The 26,695-nt window shown below is 59.1% G+C and overlaps 2 protein-coding genes across 4 annotated transcripts, besides 19 other annotated features; one reads left to right on the plus strand and one right to left on the minus strand.

Annotated features, from left to right (window-relative positions):
- Positions 638-1,199: an enhancer, noted in NCBI's record as "H3K27ac-H3K4me1 hESC enhancer chr19:17419675-17420236 (GRCh37/hg19 assembly coordinates)". NCBI's record gives its function as "activates a minimal SCP1, AML or CMV promoter by ChIP-STARR-seq in primed H9 embryonic stem cells {active_cell/tissue: H9 hESC(primed)}" and the evidence as "EXISTENCE:reporter gene assay evidence [ECO:0000049][PMID:30033119]".
- Positions 921-1,110: an enhancer, noted in NCBI's record as "active region_14265". NCBI's record gives its function as "activates an Ori minimal core promoter by ATAC-STARR-seq in GM12878 lymphoblastoid cells {active_cell/tissue: GM12878}" and the evidence as "EXISTENCE:reporter gene assay evidence [ECO:0000049][PMID:35858748]".
- Positions 1,200-1,763: an enhancer, noted in NCBI's record as "H3K27ac-H3K4me1 hESC enhancer chr19:17420237-17420800 (GRCh37/hg19 assembly coordinates)". NCBI's record gives its function as "activates a minimal SCP1, AML or CMV promoter by ChIP-STARR-seq in primed H9 embryonic stem cells {active_cell/tissue: H9 hESC(primed)}" and the evidence as "EXISTENCE:reporter gene assay evidence [ECO:0000049][PMID:30033119]".
- On the plus strand, positions 1,335-15,070 carry DDA1 (DET1 and DDB1 associated 1). 2 transcript variants are annotated; one of them, XR_007067003.1, is made up of 6 exons: positions 1,335-1,429; positions 5,795-5,875; positions 6,110-6,161; positions 7,706-7,767; positions 11,318-11,497; positions 12,102-15,070. XR_007067003.1 is itself a non-coding variant. In NM_024050.6 (5 exons), the coding sequence occupies exons 1-5, from the start codon at positions 1,427-1,429 to the stop codon at positions 11,426-11,428; spliced, it is 309 nt and encodes a 102-aa protein (NP_076955.1). In that variant the 5' UTR covers positions 1,335-1,426; the 3' UTR covers positions 11,429-15,070. The 2 variants fall into 2 exon arrangements, 1 of the variants encoding a protein (NP_076955.1); NM_024050.6 differs by having other exon boundaries at positions 11,318-15,070.
- Positions 1,551-1,650: a silencer, noted in NCBI's record as "silent region_10338". NCBI's record gives its function as "represses an Ori minimal core promoter by ATAC-STARR-seq in GM12878 lymphoblastoid cells {active_cell/tissue: GM12878}" and the evidence as "EXISTENCE:reporter gene assay evidence [ECO:0000049][PMID:35858748]".
- Positions 3,989-4,489: an enhancer, noted in NCBI's record as "H3K27ac-H3K4me1 hESC enhancer chr19:17423026-17423526 (GRCh37/hg19 assembly coordinates)". NCBI's record gives its function as "activates a minimal SCP1, AML or CMV promoter by ChIP-STARR-seq in naive H9 embryonic stem cells {active_cell/tissue: H9 hESC(naive)}" and the evidence as "EXISTENCE:reporter gene assay evidence [ECO:0000049][PMID:30033119]".
- Positions 4,490-4,990: an enhancer, noted in NCBI's record as "H3K27ac-H3K4me1 hESC enhancer chr19:17423527-17424027 (GRCh37/hg19 assembly coordinates)". NCBI's record gives its function as "activates a minimal SCP1, AML or CMV promoter by ChIP-STARR-seq in naive H9 embryonic stem cells {active_cell/tissue: H9 hESC(naive)}" and the evidence as "EXISTENCE:reporter gene assay evidence [ECO:0000049][PMID:30033119]".
- Positions 13,128-13,744: an enhancer, noted in NCBI's record as "H3K27ac-H3K4me1 hESC enhancer chr19:17432165-17432781 (GRCh37/hg19 assembly coordinates)". NCBI's record gives its function as "activates a minimal SCP1, AML or CMV promoter by ChIP-STARR-seq in naive H9 embryonic stem cells {active_cell/tissue: H9 hESC(naive)}" and the evidence as "EXISTENCE:reporter gene assay evidence [ECO:0000049][PMID:30033119]".
- On the minus strand, positions 14,995-26,627 carry ANO8 (anoctamin 8). 2 transcript variants are annotated; one of them, XR_936199.4, is made up of 18 exons: positions 26,337-26,627; positions 25,462-25,572; positions 25,194-25,326; positions 24,873-25,011; positions 24,702-24,798; positions 23,067-23,183; positions 22,860-22,987; positions 22,600-22,761; positions 22,124-22,276; positions 21,897-22,023; positions 21,731-21,786; positions 21,529-21,603; positions 19,934-20,755; positions 19,461-19,652; positions 19,210-19,341; positions 19,007-19,117; positions 15,825-17,158; positions 14,995-15,656 (listed from the first exon to the last, which is right to left on the minus strand). XR_936199.4 is itself a non-coding variant. In NM_020959.3 (18 exons), exons 1-18 carry the CDS (start codon positions 26,440-26,442, stop codon positions 15,289-15,291), a joined length of 3,699 nt encoding a protein of 1,232 aa, NP_066010.1. In that variant the 5' UTR covers positions 26,443-26,627; the 3' UTR covers positions 14,995-15,288. The 2 variants fall into 2 exon arrangements, 1 of the variants encoding a protein (NP_066010.1); NM_020959.3 differs by having other exon boundaries at positions 16,489-17,158.
- Positions 15,286-15,335: an enhancer, noted in NCBI's record as "active region_14266". NCBI's record gives its function as "activates an Ori minimal core promoter by ATAC-STARR-seq in GM12878 lymphoblastoid cells {active_cell/tissue: GM12878}" and the evidence as "EXISTENCE:reporter gene assay evidence [ECO:0000049][PMID:35858748]".
- Positions 16,123-16,623: an enhancer, noted in NCBI's record as "H3K4me1 hESC enhancer chr19:17435160-17435660 (GRCh37/hg19 assembly coordinates)". NCBI's record gives its function as "activates a minimal SCP1, AML or CMV promoter by ChIP-STARR-seq in naive H9 embryonic stem cells {active_cell/tissue: H9 hESC(naive)}" and the evidence as "EXISTENCE:reporter gene assay evidence [ECO:0000049][PMID:30033119]".
- Positions 18,068-18,595: an enhancer, noted in NCBI's record as "H3K27ac-H3K4me1 hESC enhancer chr19:17437105-17437632 (GRCh37/hg19 assembly coordinates)". NCBI's record gives its function as "activates a minimal SCP1, AML or CMV promoter by ChIP-STARR-seq in naive H9 embryonic stem cells {active_cell/tissue: H9 hESC(naive)}" and the evidence as "EXISTENCE:reporter gene assay evidence [ECO:0000049][PMID:30033119]".
- Positions 19,125-19,652: an enhancer, noted in NCBI's record as "H3K27ac-H3K4me1 hESC enhancer chr19:17438162-17438689 (GRCh37/hg19 assembly coordinates)". NCBI's record gives its function as "activates a minimal SCP1, AML or CMV promoter by ChIP-STARR-seq in naive H9 embryonic stem cells {active_cell/tissue: H9 hESC(naive)}" and the evidence as "EXISTENCE:reporter gene assay evidence [ECO:0000049][PMID:30033119]".
- Positions 19,653-20,181: an enhancer, noted in NCBI's record as "H3K27ac-H3K4me1 hESC enhancer chr19:17438690-17439218 (GRCh37/hg19 assembly coordinates)". NCBI's record gives its function as "activates a minimal SCP1, AML or CMV promoter by ChIP-STARR-seq in naive H9 embryonic stem cells {active_cell/tissue: H9 hESC(naive)}" and the evidence as "EXISTENCE:reporter gene assay evidence [ECO:0000049][PMID:30033119]".
- Positions 19,934-20,103: a silencer, noted in NCBI's record as "fragment chr19:17438971-17439140 (GRCh37/hg19 assembly coordinates)". NCBI's record gives its function as "represses an EF-1alpha promoter that drives an FKBP-Casp9 reporter gene in an ReSE screen in K562 erythroleukemia cells {active_cell/tissue: K562}" and the evidence as "EXISTENCE:reporter gene assay evidence [ECO:0000049][PMID:32094911]".
- Positions 20,182-20,709: an enhancer, noted in NCBI's record as "H3K27ac-H3K4me1 hESC enhancer chr19:17439219-17439746 (GRCh37/hg19 assembly coordinates)". NCBI's record gives its function as "activates a minimal SCP1, AML or CMV promoter by ChIP-STARR-seq in naive H9 embryonic stem cells {active_cell/tissue: H9 hESC(naive)}" and the evidence as "EXISTENCE:reporter gene assay evidence [ECO:0000049][PMID:30033119]".
- Positions 20,182-20,732: a biological region, named in NCBI's record as "H3K27ac-H3K4me1 hESC enhancer GRCh37_chr19:17439219-17439746".
- Positions 20,573-20,732: a silencer, noted in NCBI's record as "silent region_10339". NCBI's record gives its function as "represses an Ori minimal core promoter by ATAC-STARR-seq in GM12878 lymphoblastoid cells {active_cell/tissue: GM12878}" and the evidence as "EXISTENCE:reporter gene assay evidence [ECO:0000049][PMID:35858748]".
- Positions 20,710-21,237: an enhancer, noted in NCBI's record as "H3K27ac-H3K4me1 hESC enhancer chr19:17439747-17440274 (GRCh37/hg19 assembly coordinates)". NCBI's record gives its function as "activates a minimal SCP1, AML or CMV promoter by ChIP-STARR-seq in naive H9 embryonic stem cells {active_cell/tissue: H9 hESC(naive)}" and the evidence as "EXISTENCE:reporter gene assay evidence [ECO:0000049][PMID:30033119]".
- Positions 21,238-21,765: an enhancer, noted in NCBI's record as "H3K27ac-H3K4me1 hESC enhancer chr19:17440275-17440802 (GRCh37/hg19 assembly coordinates)". NCBI's record gives its function as "activates a minimal SCP1, AML or CMV promoter by ChIP-STARR-seq in naive H9 embryonic stem cells {active_cell/tissue: H9 hESC(naive)}" and the evidence as "EXISTENCE:reporter gene assay evidence [ECO:0000049][PMID:30033119]".
- Positions 26,130-26,569: a silencer, noted in NCBI's record as "silent region_10340". NCBI's record gives its function as "represses an Ori minimal core promoter by ATAC-STARR-seq in GM12878 lymphoblastoid cells {active_cell/tissue: GM12878}" and the evidence as "EXISTENCE:reporter gene assay evidence [ECO:0000049][PMID:35858748]".

Consider the following 26,695-nt stretch of genomic DNA (forward strand, 5'->3'; position numbering starts at 1 on the left):
GCTGCTTTAAAAACGTAATAAACACAAGAAGATGCCGGCACGATGGCTCCCAGAACTTTGGGAAGCCAAGTCTGGAGGATTGCTTGAGGCCAGAAGTTCGAGACCAGCTTGGGAAACATAGCAAGACCCCTGTGTCTTTTTTTTTTTTTTCTTTTGAGAGGGAGTTTAGCTCTTGTTGCCCAGACTGGACTGTAGTGGCTTAATCTCGGCTGACTGACACCTCCGCCTTCTGGTTTTAAGCGATTCTCCTGCCTCAGCCTCTTGAGTAGCTGGGATGACAGGCGCCCGCCACCACGCCCGGCTAATTTTTGTATTTTAGTAGAGATGGGGTTTCACCATGTTGGCCAGGCTGGTCTCAAACTCCTGACCTCGTGATCCGCCCGCCTCGGCTTCCCAAAGTGCTGGGATTGCTGGGATTACAGGCGTGAGCCACCGTGCCCCGCCTTTTTTTTTTTGAGACAGAGTCTCCCTCTGTCCGCCAGGCTGGAGTGCAGTGGCGCGATCTCAGCTCACTGCAAGATCCGCCTCACTCACGGTTCACGCCGTTGTCCTGCTTCGGCCTCCGGAGTAGCTGGGACTACAGGCGTCCGCCACCACGCCCGGCTAATTTTTTGTATTTTTAGTAGAGACGTGGTTTCACCGTGTTAGCCAGGACGGTCTCGATCTCCTGACCTCGTGATCCACCCGCGTCGGCCTCCCAAAGTGCTGGGATTACAGGCGTGAGCCACTGCGCCCGGCTGGCTTTTTTTTTTTTTTTTTGAGACTGATTTTCGCTCTTGTTGCCCAGGCTGGAGTGCAATGGCACGATCTTGGCTCACTGCAACCTCCGCCTCCCGGGTTCAAGTGATTCTCCTGCCTCAGCCTCCCTACTAGCTGGAATTACAGGCGCAGAGATGGGGTTTCACCATGCTGGCCAGGCTGGTCTCGAACTGCTGACCTCAGGCGATCTACCCGCCTCGGCCTCCCAAAGTGCTAAGATTACAGGAGTGAGCCACCGCACCCGGCCGAACCTCGCATCTTAAAAACACACAGACACACAAAAGCTCTAGAGAGCCTCGCGGAGCTGTAAACTACAGCTCCCAAGAGACTTCGCGGCCGAGGCCTCCGCCCACTTCCGGATCTCACTTTCATTGCTTCCAAGTACCGGGAGGTGCTTTGCTTCTTCAACCGAACTTGACCACAATGGGAGGAGGCGTGGCAACCAATGGGCGCATGAGTTAGCTGGATGCGGCCAATGGAAGCGTGCAAAGCGCTCCTATGTGGGGGCGGGGCTAGACTGCACACCAATGACAGGGAGGTGGTGGCGCCATCAGTGTGGGCTGTGCCGTGGCTGGAAGTTACTGTGAGGCGGCGGCTAAGAAGGCGGCTCTGGTGGCGGCGGTGGAGGCTGAGGCGGCGGCCGAGGCGGCGACGGAGGAAACAGAAGATGGTGAGGATGGCCTCCAGGCCCCCACTCCCCCTCTGCTAGACAAAATGGCGCTGTGGTCCCACCCACCTCTAGTATCCCCCTAGGCCCCTCTCCGTTCTGCCCGGTCCCCTCAGGTCCGGCCCGCCCCTCCCACTCACCTGTGACCTTCGACCCCCGGACCCTACCGAGAGCTTCCTGCTGATCCCACTGCCACTCCTTCTCCGACCCCTGACCCCATCCAGGATACCAAGCCCTGACAACTCATTCATTTCCGGGTTGCGGCTCCCCCCGGAAATCGTCTGGGGTGGGGATGGGGTCCCGTAAGACCCCCTGGTCTGGCCTCGTTCTCAGCACGCCGGACCTGGATCTCTTCAGTTCAGGAGAATTTGGGAGGCCGGCCTGGGCCCCGGGGCGGGGGAGGGGGCTTGGCACCGCGATATGCAGGGCTTTGTCGCCAAAGGAAGTGCGACATCGCCGATTGTCCCGGTTCCCCGGGCCCTGACCCCACCTCCACCATTCTGGGCCCTTACCCGCCTCTAAGAATGAAAAACTTTTATCTCCGATCCGCATGGATTGTCCCTGTGAAATGAGGGTAGCAGTAGTCTGAACCTCTTAGGGTGGTGACAATTTAGGTAACTGACGTCGTAAAGGACTCAGGATAGTGAATGCTCAACAGATGAGCTGGGTGACTCGAGGCCAGTGACGTTCTCTTCTAGCTGTCCCCTCATTATGAAGTGTGGATCGTCCCCACCTGGCTGTTGGAAGGTTGAAATTCCTTCAGGGTTCCTCAGTCATCCTGGAATTTGGGTCTGGTGGTTCTTCGGGGTTCAGTCTCCCCACCTGAAAAGTGGGATGGTGACCCACCCTCAGAGTGGAACTAAAGCCTCTCCACAACCCCCATTAGTTGGCATCCTGAGGGCTGGGAAGGGTGATGGGAAGCTTGGTCAAGATACCTCAAGTCTCCTTTGTCCCCTGACCCAGAGTCCCAGCCCACAATCCACAGTCCTTGGGATGTGGTGGGGATGAAAGGAAGACTCCCTTTCAGGAAGGAAATGGGAAGGTGGGTTCCTAGTGTGCGGGTCCCCAAGCCTGGGAGTTGTCCTTGATACCTTGGTACAGTCTCATCCCTACAGCCAATCATAAGTGGATTAGATTGTCTCTGCCTTCTGAACACACCTGAATTCATCCATGGCTTCATGCCCTGTTGCAGGTACTGCCACTTCCCACCTGCATACCTGTCCCAGCTTCTTCCCTGGTCTCCTAGCCTTGCTCTCACCCCTTTGGCAGTTCATAATTCACCTGAACCAGAAGGAACTTTTTTTTTGGAGTCAGGGTCTCACTCTGGCGCCCAGACTGGAGGCTCAAGAGATCCCCACACCAGGCTCATTTTTGTACTTTTTGGAGAGATGGGGATTCCCTATGTTGCCCAGGCTGGTCTCAAACTCCTGGGCTCAAGTGATCCTGCCTCAGCCTCCCAAAGTGCTGGTATTACAGGTGTGAGGCACTGCATGGGGCCTGAGAAGGAGGTTGTTTTTTTTTTTTCTTTTGAGATGGAGTCTTGCTCTGTCGCCCAGGCTGGAGTGCAGTGGCATGATCTCGGCTCACTGGAACCTCCGCCTCCTGGGTTCAAGCCATTCTCCTGCCTCAGCCTCCCAAGTAGGTGGGACCCACCACCATGCCCGGCTAATTTTTGTATTTCTAGTAGAGACAGGTTTTCACCATATTGGCCAGGCTGGTCTTGAACTCCTGACCTTGTGATCCACCCGCTTCGGACTCCCAAAGTGCTGGGAGTACAGGTGTGAGCCACTGCGCCCGGCCAGAAGGAGCTTTTAAAGATGTGCATCAAATGATACCACTTTCTAGCCTATAAAATGCTCCAGGAACCCTGGCGGCTCCCCTCCTCACCCTGAGGCCCCTGGCCACCTCTATGACCTTATCTCCACTCTCTTCTCCACTCTGTCTGTGAGCTTCAGCCACCCTGGCCTTGTTTTCACTTCCTCACACTCCAGGTTCCTGCTACCCCAGGGCCTTTACACCTGCTGCTCTTTCTGCTCGGAACACTCTTCCTCCTGTGATCGAGGTCATTCCTGACTTTGGGGGGCCCCCAGTTCTCTGCTATTAGTGTACTGCTTCTCTTTCTCATCTCTTTGTTGGGTCTCTGGCAGGCTACCTGCAGTGGGACTGGCACACAGGTGTCCAGTGCGTGTCTGCTGAGGCACCTGTGAGGGCCCAGCCGTGGCTGGCATTTGTCTGGAATGAGGCCTCCCCCACCCCCTGCCCCCATGTCTCGAGGCCTTGTTTTCCAGCTTAGCATGACAGGAAGGCTGCACGTACCCTGCCTTCATTCATTTGTCCAACGCAGACATGTTGATCCTAAAGGCTGCCCCTGAGGGAGCTCTGTGCAAAGCATTCCCCTTGTTGTCTTATGACTCAGAGTAACCCTGGGAGGTGGCCCTGTTGGAATGCGTCTCTTCACAGGGAGGCCCAGAGGCTGGGAAGTCCCTCGTCCCAGGTCACACAACCAGGGACGGGCTAAGCCAGGATTGAGAGCAGAATGCCCGGAGTACCTGCACCTCTCGCCACTCAGCCACCGGGCCCTGTGTGAGCCCGGCCAGGGTTCAGTCAGCCCTGTCCTGTCCTCTTCCCTTGGGGAGGTACCAGTCCAGCCAGGGAGGTGGACATGTAAGCAGATGACCTCGCCGGGGTGTGAGGGAGGCTCTGGGAGAGGCTCCCGAAGTGTCGGGGGAACAAAGGGGCCAGGGAGGGTGTTGGAGCTGGTGGGGAGGTTAGCAGGTATTTGCCACATGGAGGCATGAGGGGCATTCCTAGAGGGTGTGTGTGGCAGAGGGTGTGTATGATGGGAGTCCAGCAGGGGCAAGCTGGGCCAGGGCTGCGAAGGGGGACAGGGACCCCTCCTCACCCTTCAGGTCTCAGTGCCTGCATCCCTGCGTCTGGGCAGCCCTCCTTTATCCCCTAAATGGGCCAGAGCTCTGCCTTGCACCTCACACTGCGCCCTCGAGGCACCCTGTCCTGCAGCCGCTTCCTGTGCACTGTGCAGCTCTTTGCCCCACACCATCTCAAGGCCAGGCGCGTGGCCATGGTGGCTCAGTCCAGTGCCCTGGTGCCTGCTAGGGCCCCAGAAGACCTTGCTGAATGAATGAAGCTGGCCCCAGAGCCGGGTGCTGAGCTGAGGCTGGCATCCTAGGGTGGGAGGGGAGGCAGGTTTGAGGGACTTTGAACAGGTCCTGGGGCAGTAGGTCATCCAGATGTGACGGCTGCCTCCCGGGTGGGAGGGGGAGGCCCACCCAGCCACATTCCGGCTTCCCGAGAGGGACCAGCAGAGGAGGGGCCAGATGTCATAGAATTGGGGACACTGCTGTTCCTGCCTGTCCCAGAGGGTGGTGGGAAATTGTCTGAATAGCAGCTTCTCCCAGGGCAGCTCTCTTGGGCCTCAGGCATCAGGGGATGGCCTTCCCTTCCAGCTCTGTAGCCTGCAGGGGCTCTGGCTTTTGCTTTTCAGGTGTGTGATGAAGAGAAGGAGCTTGGCTTCTGAGGTGGGGTACATGTGGGTTCAAATCAGCCCCCTGGTTTTCTGACTGAGACTGGGTAACCTCTCTGCCTCGGTGTCCTTGCCTTTGATAGGGAGACACTACCTCCTGCCCCATTGGGTCAGGAGATCATACATAGTGAGCTCAGGAGGGCCCCGTTCAGGGCAAGCCATGTGGAGAGACTCGCAGCAGACAGTCCCACCACTGGCCCACTCCAGACCTCACTCACAGGGTTGGATTGAAAATGGCTTTTTTTTTTTTTTTTTTTTTTTTTTTGAGACAGAGTCTGGTTCCGTCTCCCAGGCTGGAGTGTAGTAGCACAATCATGGCTCACTGCAACCTCTGCCTCCCGAGTTCAAGCGATTCTCCAGCCTCAGCCTCCCGAGTAGCTGGGATCATAGGCGCGCACCACCACGCCCACCTAATTTTTATATTTTTAGTAGAGATGAGGTTTTGCCATGTTGGCCAGGCTGGTCTCAAACTCCTGACCGCAGATGATGCGCCCGCCTCGGCCTCCCAAAGTGCTGGGATTCAGGCGGGAGCCACTGCGGTATGACTTTTAACCAGTGGCCTGTTCTCTTGCAGCCTCAATTTCCCCACCTCTCACCTAATTAGGGGGCTGTCATGAGGATCCCGTGGGGGATGTGCACATAGCCTGGCCTGGTTACTTTTCTGTGGTCCCGACAGTGTATCCAGCAGCCAGCTCAAGGGTGTGTTCTGGAAAACTTGAACTACAAAGAATAGTGGGAAGAAGGAACCCAGCAGTCACCCTGCAGGTGCTCCAGGGATGAGCTGGCCCTTGCCTGTTTTCTCATGTACCATCTTCCATGTCTTCTAGGCAGATTTTTTGAAAGGACTGCCTGTCTACAACAAAAGCAATTTTAGTCGATTTCACGCGGACTCCGTGTGCAAAGCCTCGGTGAGTGCGTGTTCCTGGGACTGGGAGGAATTGGTCACTTCCAGGGGGCCTGGGGGCAGCTTGTGTCCCCCGATTGGGGTCTTGGCTGGAACAGAGGCTGATCTTCAAGCCCAGCCCCATCCACATACTTGAGTGTCTTCCAATCTGCACTGAAGGGTGGGTGCTGAGTGGAGGGATGAGGAGACCCCAGGCCCATGCACTCTCCTAACCCACCCCTTCTCAACCCTCCTGCAGAACCGACGGCCCTCAGTCTACCTGCCTACCCGCGAGTACCCGTCTGAACAGAGTAAGTGGCCGCTGTCAGTCTGTCCCATTCTGGCTGCTGAGGGGCGGGGTTTGGTGACTGCAGCGTGGCACGCGGAGGTTATCTTCAACCCCGGCCCAGGCCATAGACTTGGCTTGGGTTCACACGCTGTCTACTGAATCCAGTTAAGTCAGGGAGGGCCTCCAGGGAGGTACAGGAGGGGGACCTTGGGGGCTTCAGCCTGGGGATGCACACGTGGATGCCTGTCCACTCCCAGCCCCTGGGGACAGCCAGAAACCTGGCTTTCCCCAGGTGTCTCTTGATTGGGACACACTGGGATCCACAGCCAGCCCAAAGGGGCCCCCAAGTTGTCCCTCATCTGCCACTCACTGGTCCTTTCCCCTCCCTGTCAGATGAGGTCAAGCGAGAACTCTGGTTCTAAGACAAGTGCTATCGGGCAGAGAGGCAGCAGAGGGCTACAGGGGCTTGGGCTGGGGATCCAGCCAAGCCTGGGTGGCAGTGATGGGAAGGGGGTCCAGGCAAAGGGGCCCACAGCACAGGAGGACTTGGTCTTGCTGTCTTAGTTTAACTGTTCAAAAAGACTCCACACCAGGTGGGGTAGCTCCCGCCTGTAATCCCAGCACTTTGGGAGGCTGAGGCAGGAGGATTGCTTGAGGCCAGGAGTTCGAGACCAGCCTGAGCAACATAGTTAGACCCTGTTTCACCAAAAACCATATATATACGTATATATACACACATATATATACACACACGTATATATACACACATATATATACACACACGTATATATACACACGTGTATATACACACACGTGTATACACACACGTGTATACACACGTGTATATACACACACGTGTATACACACACACGTGTATATACACACACGTGTATATACACACACGTGTATATACACACACTATATATATACACACGTGTATATATATACACGCTATATATATACACACGTATATATATACACGCTATATATATACGCTATATATATACACACGTATATATATACACACTATATATATACATACGTGTGTGTGTGTGTGTGTGCATATATATATATATATATATATATATTAGCCGGGCGTGGTGGCATGCATCTATAGTCCCAGGTGGGAAAATCAGTTGAGCCCAGGAGCTCCAGGCTGCAGTGAGCTATGATTATTCCAGCCTGGGTGACAAGAGTGAGACCCTGCTCTTAAAGCATTTATCCATCTGGAGCCTGTGGGGTGGGACTGTGTGGTCACTGGGCACAGATATGCGGTATGTGCTCCTAGTCAGCCTGGGAGAAACATAGGCATGAGAGTCTCAGTTGCGGGGCTTGGTCCCCCACCAAGGGTGGAATCCCTTGCAGGGAGCCGGGACCCTGAAAGCAGCTGGCTCAGGCCTCTGGGAGTAGCTGCGAGTGTGCTCAGAAGCAAAAACATGGGACTTTTGGAGATCTCTGGAGTTGGGGGTACTGAGTTCCAGCCCCAAAAAGACCTCCCAGGGCAGTGTCAGGGGAGGAGCCTGGGGAGGGGAGGCGTCTGCGACTTTCTCTATCTTTCCTCCTTAGTCATCGTGACAGAAAAGACAAACATCCTCCTGCGCTACCTGCATCAGCAATGGGACAAAAAGGTGAGGCCCACAGGGCTCTGGTGCAGGGATTGTGGGTGGACAGAGACTGGGCACCTGGCAGGGGCTTCTGAGCACAGGAAGGACTCTAGTGATTGGAGCAGGGCCTTGAGGGCTGGGTAGGAGTGCCCTGGGCGATCCAGGAGAGGGAAGAGCGTTCCAGTGGAGGGAACCGCTGTGCAGAGGCCACAGGACACCAGTGCTCAGGAGGCTGGAGGCCAGGCCCAAGTAGCCGCCAGGCCCAGTTTTCCATGGCTCTGGCATTAGGTAGACTGTATTGGTATGAACTAGATAGAATATTTTCTGAGGCCGAGTGTGGTGACGCATGCCTGTAGTCCCAGCGCTTTGGGAGGCTGAGGCGGGCGGATCACGAGGTCAGGAGATCGAGACCATCGTGGCCAACATGGGGAAATCCCGTCTCTACTAAAAATACAAAAATTAGCTGGGCGTGGTGGCACGTGACTGTAATCCCAGCTACTTGGGAGGCTGAGGCAGGAGAATCGCTTGAACCAGGGAGGCGGAGGTTGCAGTGAGCCGAGATTGCACCACTGCACTCCAGCCTTGTTGACAGAGCAAGACTGTCTCAAGAAAATAAAAAAAGGCCGGGTGAGGTGGCTCACGCCTGTAATCCCAGCACTTTGGGAGGCCAAGGTGGGCAGATCATGAGGTCAGGAGATCGAGACCATCCTGGCTAACATAGTAAAACCCTGTCTCTACTAAAAAATACAAAAAAAAATTAGCCAGGTATGCTGGTGGGCGCCTGTAGTCCCAGCTTCTTGGGAGGCTGAGGCAGGAGAATGGTGTGAACCTGGGAGGCGGAGCTTGCAGTGAGCCTAGATAGGGCCACTGCATTCCAGCCTGGGCAACAGAGCGAGACTCCATCTCAAAAAAAACAAAAAAAACAAAAAATCTTTTCTGAATGGTGAAATGTGTACACATGATTAAAAATCTCAGCTGGGCGTGGTGGCTCACACCTGTAATCCCCGCGCTTTGGGAGGCCTACGCAGGCGGATCACGAGGTCAGAAGTTTGAGACCAGCCTGGCCAGCATGGTGAAACCCCATCTCTACTAATAATACAAAAATTAGCTGGGCATGGTGGCGCACGCCTGTAATCCCAGCTACTCCGGAGGCTGAGGCAGAAGAATGGCTTGAACCTGGGAGGCAGAGATTGCAGTGAGCCAAGATCATGCCACTGCACTGCAGCCTGGGCGGTCTCAAGAAAAAAAGAAATCTATACCGGGCGCGGTGGCTCATGCCTGTAATCTCAGGACTTTGGGAGGCCGAGTCAGGCAGACCATGAGGTCAGGAGATCGAGACCATCCTGGCTAACACGGTGAAACCCCGTCTCTACTAAAAATACAAAAAATTAGCCGCGTAGCTGGGTGTGGCGGCGGGTGCCTGTAGTCCCAGCTACTTGGGAGGCTGAGGCGGGAGAATGGTGTGAACCCAGGAGGTGGAGCTTGCAGTGAGCTGAAATTGCACCACTGCACTCCAGCCTGGGCGACAGAGCTAGACTCCATCTCAAAAAAAGAAAAAAAGAAATCTAGGTAACATGTGAGGGTGTGGCTGGGTGTGGTGATTCACACCCGGAACTGCCTGAGAGGCTGACGCAAGCAGATGGCTTGAGGCCAGGAGTTTGAGACCAGTCTAGGCAACACAGCAAAACTCCATCACTAAAAAAAAAAAAAAAAAAAACAAATTAGCTGGCTGTGGCATGTTCCTGTAATCCCAGCTATTCAGGAGGCTGAGGTGGGAGGATCGCTTGAGCCCAGGAGGTTGAGGCTGCAGTGAATCATGATCATGCCATTGCACTCCAGCCTGGGCAACAGAACCAGACTCTGTCTCTAGAAAATAAAAATAAGAGGGTGTAGTTGCAGCGAAGAGTCATCTCCCGCCTCCCGCTTCTGGTGCCCCAGCTCCCTTCCCAGAGGCTGCCTCTGCACACGGGATATTTTTCTTCTTTTTCTTTTTCGTTTTTCATTTTCTTTTGCCCTGCCCTGCCCTGCCCTTCCCCTCTTTTCCCCTTTTTTTCCCCCTTTTTCCTTTCCTAGATGAGGTCTTGCTCTGTCACCCAGGCTGGAGTCGCCCAGGCTGGAGTGCAGTGGCGTGATCTCGGCTCACTGTAACCTCCTCCTCCCAGTCTCCACCTCCCAGGTTCAAGCAATTCTCCTGCCTCAGACTCCTGAGTAGGTGGGATTACAGGCACGCGCCACCATGCCCAGCTAATTTATTTTATTTTATTTATTTATTTTTTTGAGATGGAGGTTTGCTCTTGTTGCCCAGACTGGCGTGCAGTGGCGCGATCTTGGCTCACTGTAATCTCCGCCTCCTGGGTTCAAGCGATTCTCCTGCCTCAGCCTCCCGAGTAGCTGGGATTACAGGCATGTGCCACCATGCCTGATTAATTTTGTATTTTTAGTAGAGGCGGGGTTTCTCGATGTTAGTCTGACTTGTCTTGAACTCCCGACCTCAGGTGATCCACCCGCCTTGGCCTCCCAAAATGCTGGGATTACAGGTGTGAGCCACCATGCCTGGCCTAATTTTTGTATTTTTAGTAGAGACAGGGTTTCTCCATGTTGGCCAGGCTAGTCTCGAACTCCTGACTTGAAGTGATCCACCCACCTCGGCCTCCCAAAGTGCTGGGATTACAGGTGTGAGCCACCGCGCCTGGCCTTCTTTTTTTTTTTGGAGACGGAGTCTCTCTGTTGCCCAGGCTGGAGTGAGTGCAGTGGCGTGATCTCAGCTCACTGCAACCTCCGCCTCTTGGGTTCAAGCAATTCTTCTGCCTCAGCCTCCAGAGTAGCTGGGATTACAGGCATGAGCCACCGCGCCTGGCAAGTTTGTTTTTTTTTTTTTTACCTAACATTGAACAGTGGGTGGCTGCCTACCCTGCGCAAAGTTGGAAGGTCGGGGGACTGTGTGGCAAAGTGACTGCTTCTGAAAATCCAAGCTGCTGGGCCCACCCCCACCCCTTCTCCTGCCCCCCAGGACTTGGTTTCCACAGCGGGGAAGGAGGCGTGTGCTTCTGTCTTGCGTTGATGTGCGGCATCCCCAGTGGCTTCCAAAGGCCCTTTATTCCCAGGCTGGGTGGGTTGCTCCTCTGAGTGCTTGAGAAACCAGCCCTGTGTGGGTCATTGCATGTGGTGGGGGTGACTCCGGGTGCCAGGAAACACCTGTCTATCACCAGGCATGGGTCCAGAAAGTGCTCTGGGCAGGGCTTAGTGGGGCAGGTCCTGGTGGTAGGAGGGGCTGCCTAGCCAGGGACCCTGGGGCCCCCCACTGTACTCCAGGCCTACCTCTGTGATGCTGCTGCAGGGGCCTGGGCTGGCATTATGACTCTGGGAGCTTCACCCACGTGAAGACTCACAGCCTCCAGCTGGGCAACATAGTGAAACCCCCATGTCTACCAAAAGTAAAAATATTAAGCGTGGTGGTATGTGCCTGTAGTCCTAGCTACTCCAGAGGCTGAGCTGGGAGGATTGCTTGAGCCCAGAAGGTTGAGGCTGTCCGAAAAAAAAGACTCACAGCCCCTCTCTTTTCCCTGTCCCCCAGAACGCTGCCAAGAAGAGAGACCAGGAGCAAGTGGAGCTGGAAGGCGAGAGCTCCGCACCTCCCCGCAAGGTGGCGCGGACCGACAGCCCAGACATGCACGAGGACACTTAAGACTCTCAACTCCACAGGCGCCTCCTGCCAGGTCTGCTCCTCGGTCGCCCACCCGCCTGCCCGCCATGTGTAAGCACCCCGCCCGCCCGCCTCCCTGCCGGCCCATCCACACCCTGCGTCCACACCACTTCCAACCTCATAGGAGCCGATGTATTTATTTTCCTTGAGTTTTTATTTATGCTGTAACCTGTATCAAGCGTTGGTTAAAGGGGACATCAGACCCAGTAGTGTGATGTTGGTAGATGCTTTTTAAAAAAAACAACATTGTCCCCCCGACCCCCGCCTTCCATCGGGCCAGTTCCCCGATTCCTGCCCCCAGTTCTCCAGAGAACCAGAGTGTGTCTGTGAGAGTCTCTAGCGGGGGCTTTACTGTGGCCGGGCGACAGGGGCGGGCCCGGGGTGGCCTGACCTACCAGGACAGCCGAGTGGCCTTCTCCCCCCCAACACCGGTCCAGGCCATTGAGACTCGGTCTTGTCCCACGCTTCGCCCGGAACTTTCCCATGCCCAGGCCTCACTCAGCGTGCACGCACGTTGGGGAGAAGTCGGCCCTTGGGATCTTTCTCTTGAGTCATTTTATTTTTATCATGGACTAGTGCGTGCTCCGTGTCCACCCCAATAAAAGGGTCTTTCCTACTTGACCTCGCGTCTTTGCTCCACACACCTTGGCTGCAGAGGACGGAGCCCCTGGGAGTCATCCCTGTTGTCACCAAGAGGAGTGAGAAGGGCCCCCCACGCCAGGGGCCCCAGGACCGGCTGGATTCTCTCGTGGGCTTGCTGAGGCCACCATGTTCAAGGCCAAGACCTGCCTGGACCATCCCCTCTGCCTCTCCTGTCAAGGTGACCCCAAGGACAGGTCATTCCTGAGAGACGGTCCATGGTGCCAAGGATGGAGCGGGGTCAGCCCCCTGCCTGGGATACCGCCAAGCAGGGCAGCGCACCTGTCAGACACCGCAGAGATGGCCGGCCTCATCCGGGGGCCTGGGGTCTCTGGCCTCTGCTGCTCCCCTGAGGCATGGTGACAGTACAGACGGCATCTGGCCGGTCTTGCTGTCCTAGGTGGTGGCCTCACCCTTGCTGGGTCATAGAGGAGCTGTACAGAAGGTTGGCACCTGGCAGTTGGCATGTGCCATGGCCGCTCATGGGGACCCCTCTTCCGCCAGCTGGGCTGGGTTTGGGGCTGAGCTTGGGTATGTAGGGGTGTTCGGGCTCTGGGCAGAAGGTTTGTGGCCCTGACCACTGAGCCTGGGGCTGGGGGAACACCGCTTCTCCCCTTATTGCCCCCACTGGTGGTGGTGGGGATCTCAGTTTTCTTTTGTTTTGTTTTGTTTGTTTGTTTGAGTTGGGGTCTTGTACTCTTTCCCAGGCTGGAGTGCAGTGGCGTAATCACAGCTCACTGCAGCCTCGACCTCAAGCCTTCCTCCCACCTCAGCCTTCCAAGCCGCTGGGACCACAGGCACCCACCACCATGCCTGGCTAATTTTTTTTTTTTTTTGAGATGGAGTCTCGCTGTGTCTCCCAGGCTGGAGTGCAGTGGCAAGATCTCAGCTCACTACAACCTCTGCCTCCCAGGTTCAAGTGATTCTCCTACCTCAGCCTCCTGAGTAGCTGGGATTACACGCGTGCGCCCCTACACCCAGCTAATTTTTCTATTTTTAGTGGAGACGGCGTTTTGTCATGTTGGCCAGGCTGGTCTCGAACTCCTGACCTCAGGTGCTTCGCCTGCCTCGGCCTCCCAAAGTGCTGTGACCGCACCTGGCTGCCTGGCTAATATTTTAAAAATTTTTTGTAGAGACAGGGTTTCACCATGTTGCCCAGGCTGGTCTCAAACTCCTGGGCTCAAGTCATCCACCTTCCTCAGCCTCCCAAAGTGCTGGGGTTACAGACGTGAACCACCGTGCCTGGCAGAGGTCTCTGTTTTGAGAGCTGAGTCTGAGGGCGTTGGGATGGTGTAGGGTTGGGCCACAGAGCTAGCAGACACTCCGGGCTATGGAGGGTCCGCCTGCCCCAGATTCCACTGTGGAGGGCCCTGCCTGTGTCAGACCCTCGGGCCTAGGCGGCCCATCTCTCCCAAGGACGGAGAGTGCCAGGGTGGGCTCCCGTCCTACACAAGGAGTGGCTGACCAGGCCCAGGCACAGCACAGCCACCCTGCTGTACCTCCCAGCTCCCGGCAGTGTCTACACCACAGTGATGGTGCTACAGGGGCCATGTGGTCACAGGACAGGTGGTCAGGAAATGCACACTTGACTGCGGTCGATGGTGCCGGGTCCGGCTGAATGCCCTGGAGGCTCCCAGGCCAGCTGGGGAGTCCCAGTCCCCAGGGTTGGTGTGACCTGGGCAGGCCTGCGGTGTCCATCTGTGAATGACTGAGATGGTGGGACTTCAGCTTCCAAGGCCAGGGGCCAGAGTGGGAGCAGGGGGCACTCCCGCCTTTCCCCTCGGCCTGTCTAGACCTCTCTGGCTCCCAGTTTCTGCTTTGAGTGGCTGGGGGCTGTCTCCTGCCTGTGCTGTCTGCCCGTCGCTCTGCAGGGCTGCTGGGCGGGCACCTCCTTCCCCTCCCCTACCTCAGCTCCCTCCTTTGGGGTCTGAGGGCTGTGCCCCAGCTTGCCTCCCTGTGGCCTCCCCCTAGAACCCCTGGGTCTGTCGGGACATGCCCCACCTGGCACACACACCCTGTGTAGCTCCCACTGCCTGTGGGAGGACGCTGGGCCCCTGAGCCGGCCTCTGTCTACCCCTCCTGCCTTTGGGGTCCCCTTTACCCCACTGTTCCCCCAAACTGCCTTCCACCTTCTCCGCCTTTGCACAGGCTGTTCTCCTGCCTCCAGTGAACTCTGACTTCTCCACAGCCTCCCAAAGGGCCCCTTGCTCACACTGGCCCAGCCCTGCAGCATGGCCATGTTGGTCTCTGAGCCTTAAGCCTTTGGATGTGGACACATTTGTCCTCTTCCTGAAAAATGTGAGGGTCTGAGAGGCCACGTTCCTGTTCCTGAGTCATACGACAGAGTCCCAGTGACTTGGGTCTGATGTCTGTCCCACAGTGGGACATCCCTGCTGCATCCCAATGCCACCCCGTGTCCTGGGGACACCCAAATGTGCCATTCTCTCAGTATCACAAGTCGGGGACTGCAGGAGGCTCAGGTGCCAGGTGCCTTCTGATGTTCATGCCACAAGCTCTTCCCACTGTCTCTGGCTCCCCAGACGATGTTCCAGGAGGCGGGTGTGCCAGAAGGGGCCACGTCTTGCAAACCACCGCGCTGTCCTCTTTGAGAAGGAGTCTTACTCAGGACTGGGGCCTGTGCACACATTGTCGCCTCTTTTCAGCACTTAGAGATTCCTTCCTTTGTCTAGTGGCTGAAGCCAGGGCTGAAGTTGGCCTCCAAATCTGGGCCGTCTCAGAGGCGGCGCAGCCTGGAGTTTTCCATCTGTGGCCAAGACCCAGTTTTTGGGAGGAGGCCCTCATGGGTCAAGCCAGCCTGTACCAGGATGGGGGGAGGGGGTTCCCAACCTAGGCCCCAGCCACCCAGACTCCCCCACCCCCACTCCCTTTTCCACTGCTCTGACCTCGGGCACTGTTGAAATATAGTTTTTATTGCATTTCTGCCGTTTTACAAAAATATGACAAAATAAATTAAAAACAAATAAATAATCGCCTGTTCTGTGTGTGTGTGTGTGTGTGTGTGTGTGTGTGTTTTCTGTTGGATTTGTGGGTTTCCTTTCGTTTGGAAAGGAAAACGGCAGATGGGGGGCACCGACCAATACTGGGGGCCCTCGGGGGCTGAAGCGCATTTTGCATTTTGGAGACCGGCCGCCCCTGTGAATGACTGATATTGCATATGAGAAGAGAAGGCAGGGCGGGTAGAGCTAATGCCAGCCGCTGGGCCAGCACACGGCCTGGGGGCTGGGGCTGGGGCTAGGGGAGGGCGCTGGGGTCTCGAGGGGATCCGAGGTGGGCGGTAGCGGTGGGGGCGGGAGGCTGTAAAAGCTGGCGTCTCCCGGCAGGGGCTGGGGGGCGGGTGGGGGCCCGGCCATGGCACAGGGTGGGCACTCGGCAGCGGCCAGGGCCTGGCGGGGGGCGGCACCCTCGCCCCCGCAGCCCCAGGGCCCGTCCCACTGCCAGCAGCCTGCGGGCGGTGTCGGGGGCCGGGGCAGCGGCATTGGCGGCGGCGGCGCGGGGCTCCGGCTGCGGCGGGTGCGGAGGGCAGGGGCGCCCACGGGGGCCAGCGCTGTCCCTGCGGAGGCGAGAGGGGCCGTTCCGGGGGGATGCCGCCCCCGCCGGACCCCGCCGGGCTGGCAACCCTGCCCGCGCTCCCTCCCGGGCATCCAGGCACATAAAGGCCTTATTGCTTCTGATCAGAGACTGAGGTGGGGCGGCCCCCTGGGCGGCTTCCGGTGCATACCCTGCCTCTGGGCACGGCCCTGCCGGTCACAGGGGGAGGACAGTTTGAGGAAGTCCCTCTGGCTTCTGACCTATGGCCCTTGTGCTGCAGCTGCCACCTGTTGGGCTCCCTGGGAATGGGGTTGCTGGAGCCCAGGCTGGGATTGGGGCAGGGGAGGTGGTGGGGGTGGGAGGGTAGGGGTGAGGCCTGCACCTCTGCTCAGCACATGTGGGAGCTCCCTGGGTGGGCAGCCCCAGCCCCACCTCGAGGAAGGCCTTCCTGAACAGCTGGGCTGCAGGGTGTGGATTTGCATAGAGGCCTGGGGGGTCAAGTCCCCCCCAAGAGTGAGCTGGAGCAGGAGAAGGGTGGGCTGGTTGGGAAACAGGCCTCCCTCATCTCTCCTGGCACCGGAGCATGGTGGGGGTCCCTGGGTGCAGTCCTGGGACAAGGGGCTTTGGCATCCCTCCCTGGGGAGGGTCAGGCACGGGGCTCCAGGCTAACAAAGGCCCTGGAGATACTAAGCAGGCTTTAACTGAGAGGCTCCACGTACCACTGACCCAGGTCCCCACCAGGACCTAAGACCGGGCTTCCCCTGTCCCCTTCAGCCCCTCTCCCCAGGCCTGGCCACCCTACCCTATCCCCAAAGCCGGCCCGGCGTCCCCACCCCCGAGTTAAAGCTTGTGACCTGAGCCTTCCTCTTCGGGCCGGGGGGCTTCCAGCTCCTCAGCCAGGGCCTCGTCCACCGGCCCACTCCTCTGAACCCGGCTGCTGCCACTGCTGGGGGTCCCATCTGGCCGGGCCTGCCCGCCCGCCCCGTTGGACCCAGGCTCAGCCCGGGTGCCACCAAAGGGGAAGAGCTTGCCAGCATGGAAGGCTTTGGGCGGTGAGTGGCTGCGCTCAGAGTCCCGCCGGGTCTCGGGTGACTTGAGGAACTTGAAGCTGAGGAAGGCAGGCAGGCGGGTGTCGCTGCCTGTGGGTGACTGGGCAGGGGGAGGCCGGGTGGTGGCTCCGGCCCCTGCAGCAGCCAGTGAGGATGTGGCCCCTGACGAGAGGAATTTGCCCTGCAGTGGGATGATCTGCTTCAACTTCATGACGTTGTTGGGTGCCAGCAGGGACCCTGGGCGCTTGGGCCGTTCAGGCCCGTGGCCACCCGCAGTGCTGCCCTTGGCCTTGGCAGAGGCCTTCTCGGAGGAGGTGGCAGGGTCCAGCCCAGAGCCCTCGGCCCTCGCCTCCTCTCGGCCACCAGAATCATGCTCCCGCCGGGCATGGTGCTCTGCATGGCGCTGTCGCTCCTCCTCCTCCCGCCGCCTGCGCTGCTGCTGCTGGTAGCGATGCTGGGCCTGGCGCTCGTGTCTCTGCAGGTAGAGCCAAGCCGTTACAGGACTAAGAAGAAAGGGTGTTAGCGGGTGCCAGCTGAGGCTGGTGCATGCCAGGGCTCTCTGCAAAAGTGGGGGAGACTTAAATGCTTATTAGGCTCCAACTGTATCCCTGCACCCACAATGGGGGCTCCCTGCAGAAGTGGGAGAGAGCCAATCACTTATTGGGTGCAAACGGCATTCCCAGATACATGATCAGCCTCTCTGTGGAAATGAGGGAGGCTTAAATGCTTATTGGGGCTGGGCGCAGTGGCTTGCGCCTGTAATCCCAGCACTTTGGGAGGCTGAGATGGGAGGATCACTTGAGGCCAGGAGTTCGAGACCAGCCTGGACAAAATGGCAAAACCCTGTCTCTACCAAAAATATAAAAATTAGCTGAGCATGGTGGCACACGCCTGTAATTCCAGCTACTCGGAAGGCTGAGGCAGGAGAATCGCTTGAACCCGGGAGACGGAGGTTGCAGTGAGCTGAGATTGTGCCATTGCACTCCAGCCTGGGGACAAAGCGAGACTGTCTCAAAAAAGAGAAAAAGAAAAAAAGCGTATTGGGCGCCAGCTTCATCTCTGGGCCCACACTGAGGTTCTCTGGGGAACTGGAGAGAGATTCCGAGGCTTATTGGGTGCAACTGAATGAATCCCTGGACCCACGCCGGTACTTTCTGGGAATTGAAAAGAAAACAAACATTCACTGGCCATCAACTCTGTCCCCGGCTGTGTGCCAGACAGCGTCTTAGGAATTGGTAAAGTGGAAACCAATCCTGAGCCTCAACCGATCCCCTGCTTCCCAGAGAACAGGCAAGAGACAGAACCGTGGCTGCAGGCTGGGTACGGTGGCTCACGCCTATAATCCCAGCACTTTGGGAGGTGGGCAGATTGCTTGAGGTTAGGAGTTGGAGACCAGCCTGGCCAACATGGTGAAACCCCATCTCTATTAAAAATAGAAAAATTAGCCAGGCGTGGTGGGACATGCCTGTAATCCCAGCTATTTGGGAGGCATGAGAATTGCTTAAACCTGGGAGGTGGAGATTGCGGTGAGCCGAGATTGTGCCACTGCACTCCATGCACTCCAGCCTGGATGACAGAGTGAGAGAGATTCTGTCTCAAAGAAAAAACAAAAACAAAAACAAAAAGGACTATGGCTGCAGCAGACTATACCCAGGTAGCCACGCGAGGCTCTGTTCAATAAAATAAAAATTCAGTTTCTCGGTCGCAGCAGCTGCACTTCAACGTGCTCACTTATCACCTGTAGCTAAAGGCTGCAGGGACAGTGCAGACAAAGGACATTGTCATCCTCGAGGAATGTTCCCTGTGCAGGCACTGGGGAGCTCCTTGGCCCATTCTGTAGCTTTCTGAGGAATGCGGAAGAAGCTGCGCTTCTAGGAAGCCTCCGCTGTGTCCCTGGCCCCCTAACAGGATGCAATCGGGCAAGCTGGTGGATGGCTGAAGGTTCTGAAGGGCCAGCCTCGTGCTGGATGCTGCCAGGATTCCAGAAGCGACTGGACCCGTTGTGAACACTAGTTATTATTGCTTATTATTACTCTTTTTAGAGACAGGGTCTTGCTCCATCACCCAGGCTGGAGTGCAGTGGCGCAATCATAGCTAGCTGCAGCCTCAAACTCCTGGGCTCAAGCGATCCTCCCACTTTGGCCTCCCAAAGCGCTGGGATCATAGGAGTGAGCCACTGCACCCAGCCAGGGAGCACTAATTATTATACCCAGCTCTGTGCAGTCTCTGCATTTGCCCTTACGCTAAGGAATTGGCCACCAAGATCAGAGATCCACCAGCAGCCCCACCAATGAGAAAACCGAGCCCAGCCTGGCCCCCCTACCTTAAAGGCCTCGCGGCGCTGGTACTCCAGCTTGGCCATTTCCTCGGCCACCCAGCCCGGGATATCGGGGATGGCCACGTGGATGAGGTACTTGAGGAGCAGAGCGAAGTGCTGCAGGGGTGGCAGAGAGGAGGCTGCAGGCTGCAGACGCTGGGGCCGCCCTCTCGCCTCCCAGCTGCCCCCGCCCCTGTCGCCGGCCCCACCTCGAGCACTACCACCGACACGATGGCTGCCTCCGGGCTCAGCCAGGGGAAGAGGCGCTGCAGCTGCCCGCACTGGCCGATTAAGTAGCAGTTGACCACAATCGCTAGGACACCCATGGCCTCCATCACCTTCTGCAGGGCGGCAGGAGGGCTCAGGCGGGGTCCAGCCGGCCTCCCCAGACCCCAGGCTCCTCCCAGCTGCACCTGGGCTCCCTCTGGGCCTCAGCTCGGATCTCTTGGCTTCCCCCCACCTGCCACTGGCCGATGCTTTCCACGCGCTGGCCGAAGGGCCGCTGCAGCCCGGTGCACAGCTTGAAGGCGTCGCTGCGGATCTCAATGAGGTTGTTGACCAGGGCGCACAGCGCCGCCAGGGGGAAGGCGGACGAGAAGAGCACAACGTAGCCGAACTGCACGAACATCTCCTGGTAGTCCTGGAACGTGTCCTGCGAGTGGGCGGGCCTCAGACCTGGAAGCCTCTTCCCTGGGACAATCTTTCTCCCATTGAGCCCGCCTCCCTCAGATTATCCCATGTGGACCCAGGGCCTGTCCCCATCCTCAGCCAGCCCAGAGGCTTCCTGTATCTGGCTAGGCCTTCCTCTCCTGCAGCATCCCAACATCAATGGCCCTGTTATCACCACTCCCACCCCCACGGCCTTCACCCTCGGACGGTGTGTCCCGTCCCCGGCGAGGCCCCGCCCCCTGCGAGGCCCCGCCCCCTCCTCACCTCGTACTTCTTCATACAGCTCTCCAGCTCTGCCTGGGTGAGCTGGGGCGAGTGTTCCTCCTCCGGCGGGTCAATCCAAGACGACCGGTTCTGCCGTCTCTGCCTACGGGTCGAATCGCTGTTGGAGCCGGGTTCCGGGTCCGGGCCCCCGTCGGGCCCCTGGTCTCGGCCCTCGCCCCCGGCCCGGCGGAACAAGATGGCCGGGGGCTCCCGTTCAGGGCTGCCGGGAGCCCCCTCCGCCTCGTCGTCCTCCTCGGCCAGGGTGAACACTCCCGGCTCCAGCCCCTTCTCCACCATAGTGGGGCTCCCTTCCTCCAGGAGGGCCTCCGGGCTTGGGCCGGGCCGACGCCGCCCCGCGCCGCGCTCAGCGAAGCTGACCTTCTTCAGCCGGAGCCCGCAGTCCAGGAGGCCCCCTTCCTCGCCCTCCTCCTCGTCCTCCTCTTCCTCCTCGTCCTCCTCCTCCTCGTCGTCCTCGTCCTCCTCCTTGCCCCCTGGAGGCCCGTCCCCCTCCTCCCCGCCTTCCCCCGCCCGCCGCCGCTCCACCAGCGCCGCCTCCTCCTCCTCCTCCGGCGCCCCGCAGCCCCCGCTGAGGCACCTGCGGCCCCCGCCCCCGCTGCCGCCGCCCCCGCCCTCATCCGCCTGGGGTTCGAGGCGGCGGGGCGCAGGGCGCCGGAGGCTCAGGAGGCCAAGCAGGGCTCGGGCCAGCTCCCAGACGGCCCGCAGGCCCAGCTCGCCGCGGCCCAGGCGCCGGTACAGGTGCGGCTGCAGGACCTCGCGCACGTTCTGGAGGAACTGGCGGGTGATCAGCAGCGTGGCCAGCATCTGGGGGCAGGAAGGGGAAGGAGAGAGGCGCGTGGGGGGCAAGCGGGGCGCCGGGATCGGGGGACTCACCCTCCCTGGGCGCCCCGCCGGAGCACCGTGCCCAGACACACGCCGAATCCGGTTCCTAACTCCGCTGCTTTGGACGCGCCTCGACGCGAGGCCCCCAGCGCTCAGCCACAAAATACAGCCTGGCACGCGCAGCGCTCCTCGCCCACCTCACGGGCAGGCCCAGCGCGTCTCCACCCCACCGCGGGCTCTGTCGGTGCACTGGGCCGCGTGCGCCCCCAGCCGCCTGCACCTGCTTGCTGGCCGCCCCCGACCCCAGATTCCCTCCGCGCATGCGCCCTCAGCTCGGCGCGCCAGGCCCCCAGCACAGCCACGCTGCCCACCCCGGCGAGGACCCACGGGCTCGCCACCTGCCCGTACTTTGGCCCGGGCCGCGAGCAGGAGGCCCCGGAGGGAGAGGAGGAGCAGGCGGAACCGCAGGGCCGCGAGCGGGACCAGCACCGCCTGCAGCTGCCGCTCGAGGCTCTGGGACAGGGACAGGACGAGCAGGAGCTGTGAAGGGACCGACGGACAGATGGACGGACAGATGGGGGGACGACAGGCAGAGAGAGGACGCACAGACGACGGACAACGGACGGACAGACAGGAGAGAAGGATGGAGGAGGGGAGGGAGGGGCTGGAGAGCCCTTGGACCCCTTGTGCCGGGTCTGGCCCCTCGCTGGCCGCCATGGGGGCAGGGGGGACTGCCGCTGGGGCGGGGGTCTCACCTCTTTCAAGCGCTCCATGTCCTTGAGGTAGAAACCGATGTAGAAGAGGCTCAGGTACGAGTTGACAAACTGGAACTGCAGGAAGGAGGCAGGCGGTGGTCATCCTGCACCCCCACCCGACTCCTTGGAGCCTTCCTTGTGCCCCATACAGACGGCACAGCTTCCCCGTTGTCCCCCTGCCTGTCCGATGGTGGTGACTCACCAGGACAACTTTGATGATGAGGTGCTTCTCATAGGCGCTCTCCAGCCGGTAATTTTCTAGGGGCCAAGGGGGGGAGTGAGGGGGCAGCCGCGGTCCCCCCAAGGGTGGCAGGGATCCCAAGGGGCAGTGGAGACCTTCCTCCCAGAGACCCCCTGGCAGGTCGTACCCATGTCATTGAGCCAGATGGCTAGCTTCTTGTAGCCCTCGGCACTCACACTGACAAGCAGGGCCAGCATGACCTTAGGCAGGAATCGGGCGAGACGGGGCAACCCCTTCACGCTCAGCACCAGCTCCTGCGGGAGAAGGGGGTTCAGGGCTCATCCCAGCTGCAGGGCTCAGCCCAAGGTGGAGCTAGGTACCAAGGACAGGGCGGGTGAGGGTATGGGGGGTCACCTGCAGCTGGAAGCAGCCAAGCATGAGCAAGAAGACACAGACGAGGCACGCCAGGCACAGGGGGAGGCTCACAAGCAGCTGGAAGAGCAGCCGCTTCCAGGGCGGGTAGTAGAACTCCTCGGCCCGCGTGATGGGGCTGATACGTCGCACGCCCTGATGGTGGGCAAAGACCGGGCCCAGCATGAGCTCAGAGGGGCCACCTCTGCCTTCTGCACCCCTCCCTATCCTCAGAACTCAATTTCCCTCCATCATGCGGAGGTGACCCTCTCAGGTCACCCACCTAGGGCACTGTTCCCAGTCCCTCAAATCCAACTTCCACCTCTCCCCCTGGGGAGCACACAGAGCCCGCCTCGGTTTGGCATACCCTCTTTGATGAAACAATCCTGTTTCACACCTCTCTGCCTTTGCTCCTGCAGTGCCCCCCACCATTTACCTTTGTCCTGTCTCCATGACCCTGGACTCAGCCCCCAACTGACCCTGAACTGGGGGCGTGGCTCCTCCACGGCTTCCCCAGGTGAGTCCAGCGTCCCCCACTTATATGCCAGCTCAGCCCCTCTCCGCTTCCATTCCTCTAGGAACAGCGTCGACCAGATCACGTTGAAGAGGGCAAAGACCACGCAGGAAACATCCCGGCTTGTCTGTGAGTGGCAGAGAAGAGTTGAGTCATTGTTTGTGCCAGTCCAGAAAGGAGGGCGCCTCTGGATCCCCCAGACCTTGCAGGGTCCCTGCCCAGTACCTGATCAGCCTCTGTGAATGTGTACAGGACAGACCCGAAGACAGCTGGGTATACCATAGCCGACGTGTAGAAGCCCAGCCAGGCGAAGTACATGGCAATTTTCACACCAAAGTAATCACAGATGTCATCTGCCAGGGGACAAGTGGGTCTCAGTCACCCCCTGCCTGTCTGCTGGGACTCCCTCCCACCCCCCAGCCCAGGCAGCACCTAGAGGCTGGTTTTCACACACGGCCTGCACCCATGACTTCATGAGGCGGTTCAGAATACGCTGCTCGTGGACAGGGAACACCTGCTGGATGATCCCACGTGCTGCCAGCTCCGGGACTGTGGAGGGAGGAGCACAGGTGATCCCCGCCCCTCCACCTGTGCCTAGCCTGGCTAGCCCCTCTTTGTCTGAAACCCAAGTCACAGCTTTTTGCCTGCTCTTAAACCTCTAGAGCTCTTTCCAGGGGAGAAGTTCTAGACGGATAGAAGATCTGATTCTCCTTCAGAAATTGTAGGTGCAGGGGCAGGCGGGGAGAATGTAAAGGAACTGGGAGAGTGGGGTTCTGGTGAGGAACCATGTTTTTTTTTTTTTTTGAGACAGTCTCACTCTGTCGCCCAGGCTGGAGTGCAGTGGCGTGATCTCCGCTCACCGCAACCTTCAAGCGATTATCGTGCCTCAGCCTCCGGAGTAGCTGGGATTATAGGCGCCCACCACCACGCCCAGCTAATTTTTGTATTTTAGTAGAGACGGGGTTTCGCCATGTTGGCCAGGCTGGTCTCAAACTCCTGACCTCAAGTGATCCACCTGCCTCGGCCTCTCAAAGTGCTGAGATTACAGGTGTGAGCCACCGCGCCCGGCTTTTTTTTTTTTTTTTTTTTTTTAGACGGGGTCTAGCTGTGTCACCAGGCTGGAGTGCAGTAGTGCGATCTCAGCTCACTGCAACCTCTGCCTCCCGGGTTCAAGCGATTCTCCTGCCTCAGCCTCCCGAGTAGCTGGGACTACAGGCGCGCGCCAACCACACTTGGCTAATTTTTGTATTTTTAGTAGAGATGGGGGTTTCACCATGTTGGCCAGGATGGTCTCGATCTCCTGACCTCGTGATACGCCCGCCTCAGCCTCCCAAAGTGCTGAGATTACAGGCGTCAGCCACCGCGCCCGGCCTTATTTTTTACTTTATTTATTTATTTGTTTGAGACAGGGTCTCGCTCTGTCACCCAGGCTGGACAGAATGCAGTGGCGCTACCATGGCTCACTGCAACCTCGAACTCCTGGGCTCAAGTGATGCTACCGCCTGGACCTCCCAAAGTACTGGGAGCCACTGCGCCTGTTCCCCTGCTTTAAATAAAGCTCAGTTTGTGGACCCGAACGTCTGAGGAATGGTAAAAACTTGCTGTCGGAAGGTGAACTTGGGTGCCTAGTTTCCTGGAGGGGAATCCAACGCCCAGAGCCGCACCACTCTGTAAGTGGAGTGCTGTCCATGGTTCCTGCCTCCACTTTATCCCAAACCCAGAAAAGGGCCTCTCCTGGACCCACCTCCCAGAAATAAGCCCCACCCTTTGGCCAAAGCCTCGCCCCCTCAGCTCATTGGTTCCCAACCCTTTGCCAACCCCTAACTGGTTGGACATAAGCCCTGACCTCCTGTCCTGATAAGCTGTCCTCTCAGAGCTCCACCCAACTCAGGAGATAAGCTCCACCCTTTTGCTAAGGCCACACCCCTTTAGCTCATTGGTTTCCTAACTCTTTGCCAACCCCTGACTGGTTGGATCTGGGCCCCGCCCTCCTGCTCCTATAAGCTGTCTTTGAAGAGCTCCACCCAACTCTCTGCCTGTGATTGGTGTTGACCCCGCCCTGCTCACTGATTGGCTGGTCCTCCAGGAAGCGCACGTTGTGGAGTGCTTCTCCCTGCTTGGCACGCAAATTCTGCAGCCAGAAGCGGATGATGCTCTGGCGTTCCTGCGAGGAAGAGGGCGTGAGCTCAGGGAACTCATAGGCACAGGATGCATGCGGGGGCCCAGAGCCGGCCTCACCTGGGAGGTGAAGAAGCGTAGCTCGCTCTCCACATTCTCATAGATAAAGTCCTCCTCGCAGGAGAAGCCGCGGGTGCCCCCGCCAAACTCGGCCTTCACTGCTTTGCGCAGACCCAGCTCGTCGGCCCCTCGGAGTAGGCTGTGAAGAAGGCGGAGGAGGTGGGCTCACAGGGAGGCCCCGGCCCACCATCCTGGAGCTGAGGATGGTGCACCTGGCAGCCTTTGGGACAAACGCAGGGCGGCTGGATAGCATGGTTGGCACTTGGTAGAGCGGGGAGTCGGGTGGCAGGCTCAGCGAGAGGCCAGGGACAGGGGACTCGCCTCTCATACGTGGCGGTGACAAAGAAGGCGTAGGCACGCGTGTGGCGGTGGTGGCGGACTTGCACGATGAGCTCGGGAATGCCCACGCGGATGTGGTTCAGCAGCCATAGCAGCGTGTGGTCATCGGTCGTGTCTGCCAAGGGGCACAGGGACCGATGGCTCCTGCCACGAGGGGGCCCAAGGCCTCCTACGTATTCCCGTTCTGGGAAGCCGAGCTCAGGAGAGCCGCATCTGGGCACTGGGCGGGCGGGCGGGCGGGCTTGGGTACCTGGGAAGGTCATCAGCACGTCGCAGTTCTCTGTAGGCACCGTCTTCATCCACGCCTTGTGGGACACCAGGTAGCGACCAGCCTGCAGGAGCCGCTTTCCGAAAAGCTTATCTAGGGGGCGGCGTAGCAGGCCCGGGTCAGGCCACTCTGGGATCCGGACCCGGCCTCCAGTCTTGGCTCCTCCTGCCCCCGCCAGGGCTCCTCACCACTCCACCTGGCATTCAAGGCCCCGGGAGCTCTGGGCTTGGCTTATTTTCCTCCCTCCACGTCCTTGTACCAGCCAGGCCTTCCTCCAGAAATGCCCTTCCCCCCAGATCCTCCCTTACAAATCTTACTCATTCTTGAGGCCCAGCTCCGCCTCCAAAACCACAATCGATGGGGCGCTCACTAGCAGCCCTGAGCGCTTCACCACATTATGACAGCGCCGTCCTTGCAGCAGCCCCAGGGACTAGGTGCGGTTCTTACCCCCATTTCACAGGTGAGGAAACTGAGGCCCAGAGCGTTTAAGTCACGCGCCCAAGGTCACACAGTCAAGCTGGGATTTGAACCCAGGACCGTATGATTCTGTATTCTTCGCGGAGAGGCTCTCTCAAGCACATCCCTGGCCCGCCGCGATCCCGCAGCCCGGGGGTGGCAGGGCGCAGCCCAAGCCTGGGGCTCTCGGAGGGGCGTGTCCGCGTCTCCGCGCCGGGACCCCAGCCCGAAGCACCGTCCCAGCCCCGCCCGCCGGGCCGCAGCCGCAGTGCCGGGAGGAGCCGGCCCCTCGTCCAGACACCACGCCAGGTTACGTTTGACCCTGATCCTCCTCCCCGTGTAGTTGACGCGGGCTCCCCAGGCACCTGCAACCCTGTCTGGTCCAGCCGCCGCACACATACCCAGAACTCCGGACGCCGGGGCTGCAGGCTCGCCCTCCGGCGGGGGCCTCTTGCCACGCTCGCCCTCCAGGGACGTGCCCCCGGCGCCGGAGGCGGCCTCGGCCATGGCGAGGACAGGTCAGGTCAGGGGCTACGGACGGCCCGGGCGACGGGGAGCCGCGGGCTCATGGGGCCGGTGCAGCCGCGGAGCGCGCGGGAGGAGGAGACAAAGGCCGCGCCCGCCCGCGCCGGCCTCGGTCCTCGCTCGCCCGAGCGCTGCTTCTCGTCCCCGCCCGAGCCGAACCTCGATTCTCCTTCCCGGCCCGATGCACGTCACTCTAGGGTTCTCAGCTGAGTTCGCCCGCCTAGTTCTTTGGTTC

The sequence above is a fragment of the Homo sapiens genome, chromosome 19 (genome assembly GCF_000001405.40).
Source record: "Homo sapiens chromosome 19, GRCh38.p14 Primary Assembly".
Taxonomy (NCBI): domain Eukaryota; kingdom Metazoa; phylum Chordata; class Mammalia; order Primates; family Hominidae; genus Homo; species Homo sapiens.

Coding starts and splice junctions, on each gene's coding strand:
- DDA1 (NM_024050.6), top strand. Junction 5,876..6,109: donor ACTCCGTGTGCAAAGCCTCG/GTGAGTGCGTGT, acceptor ACCCTCCTGCAG/AACCGACGGCCCTCAGTCTA. Junction 6,162..7,705: donor CGAGTACCCGTCTGAACAGA/GTAAGTGGCCGC, acceptor TTTCCTCCTTAG/TCATCGTGACAGAAAAGACA.
- ANO8 (NM_020959.3), bottom strand. CDS start 26,442: ATGGCCGAGGCCGCCTCCGGCGCCGGGGGCACGTCCCTGGAGGGCGAG. Junction 25,327..25,461: donor CGTGCTGATGACCTTCCCAG/GTACCCAAGCCC, acceptor GCCCCTTGGCAG/ACACGACCGATGACCACACG. Junction 19,118..19,209: donor TGTCGGTGGTAGTGCTCGAG/GTGGGGCCGGCG, acceptor CCACCCCTGCAG/CACTTCGCTCTGCTCCTCAA.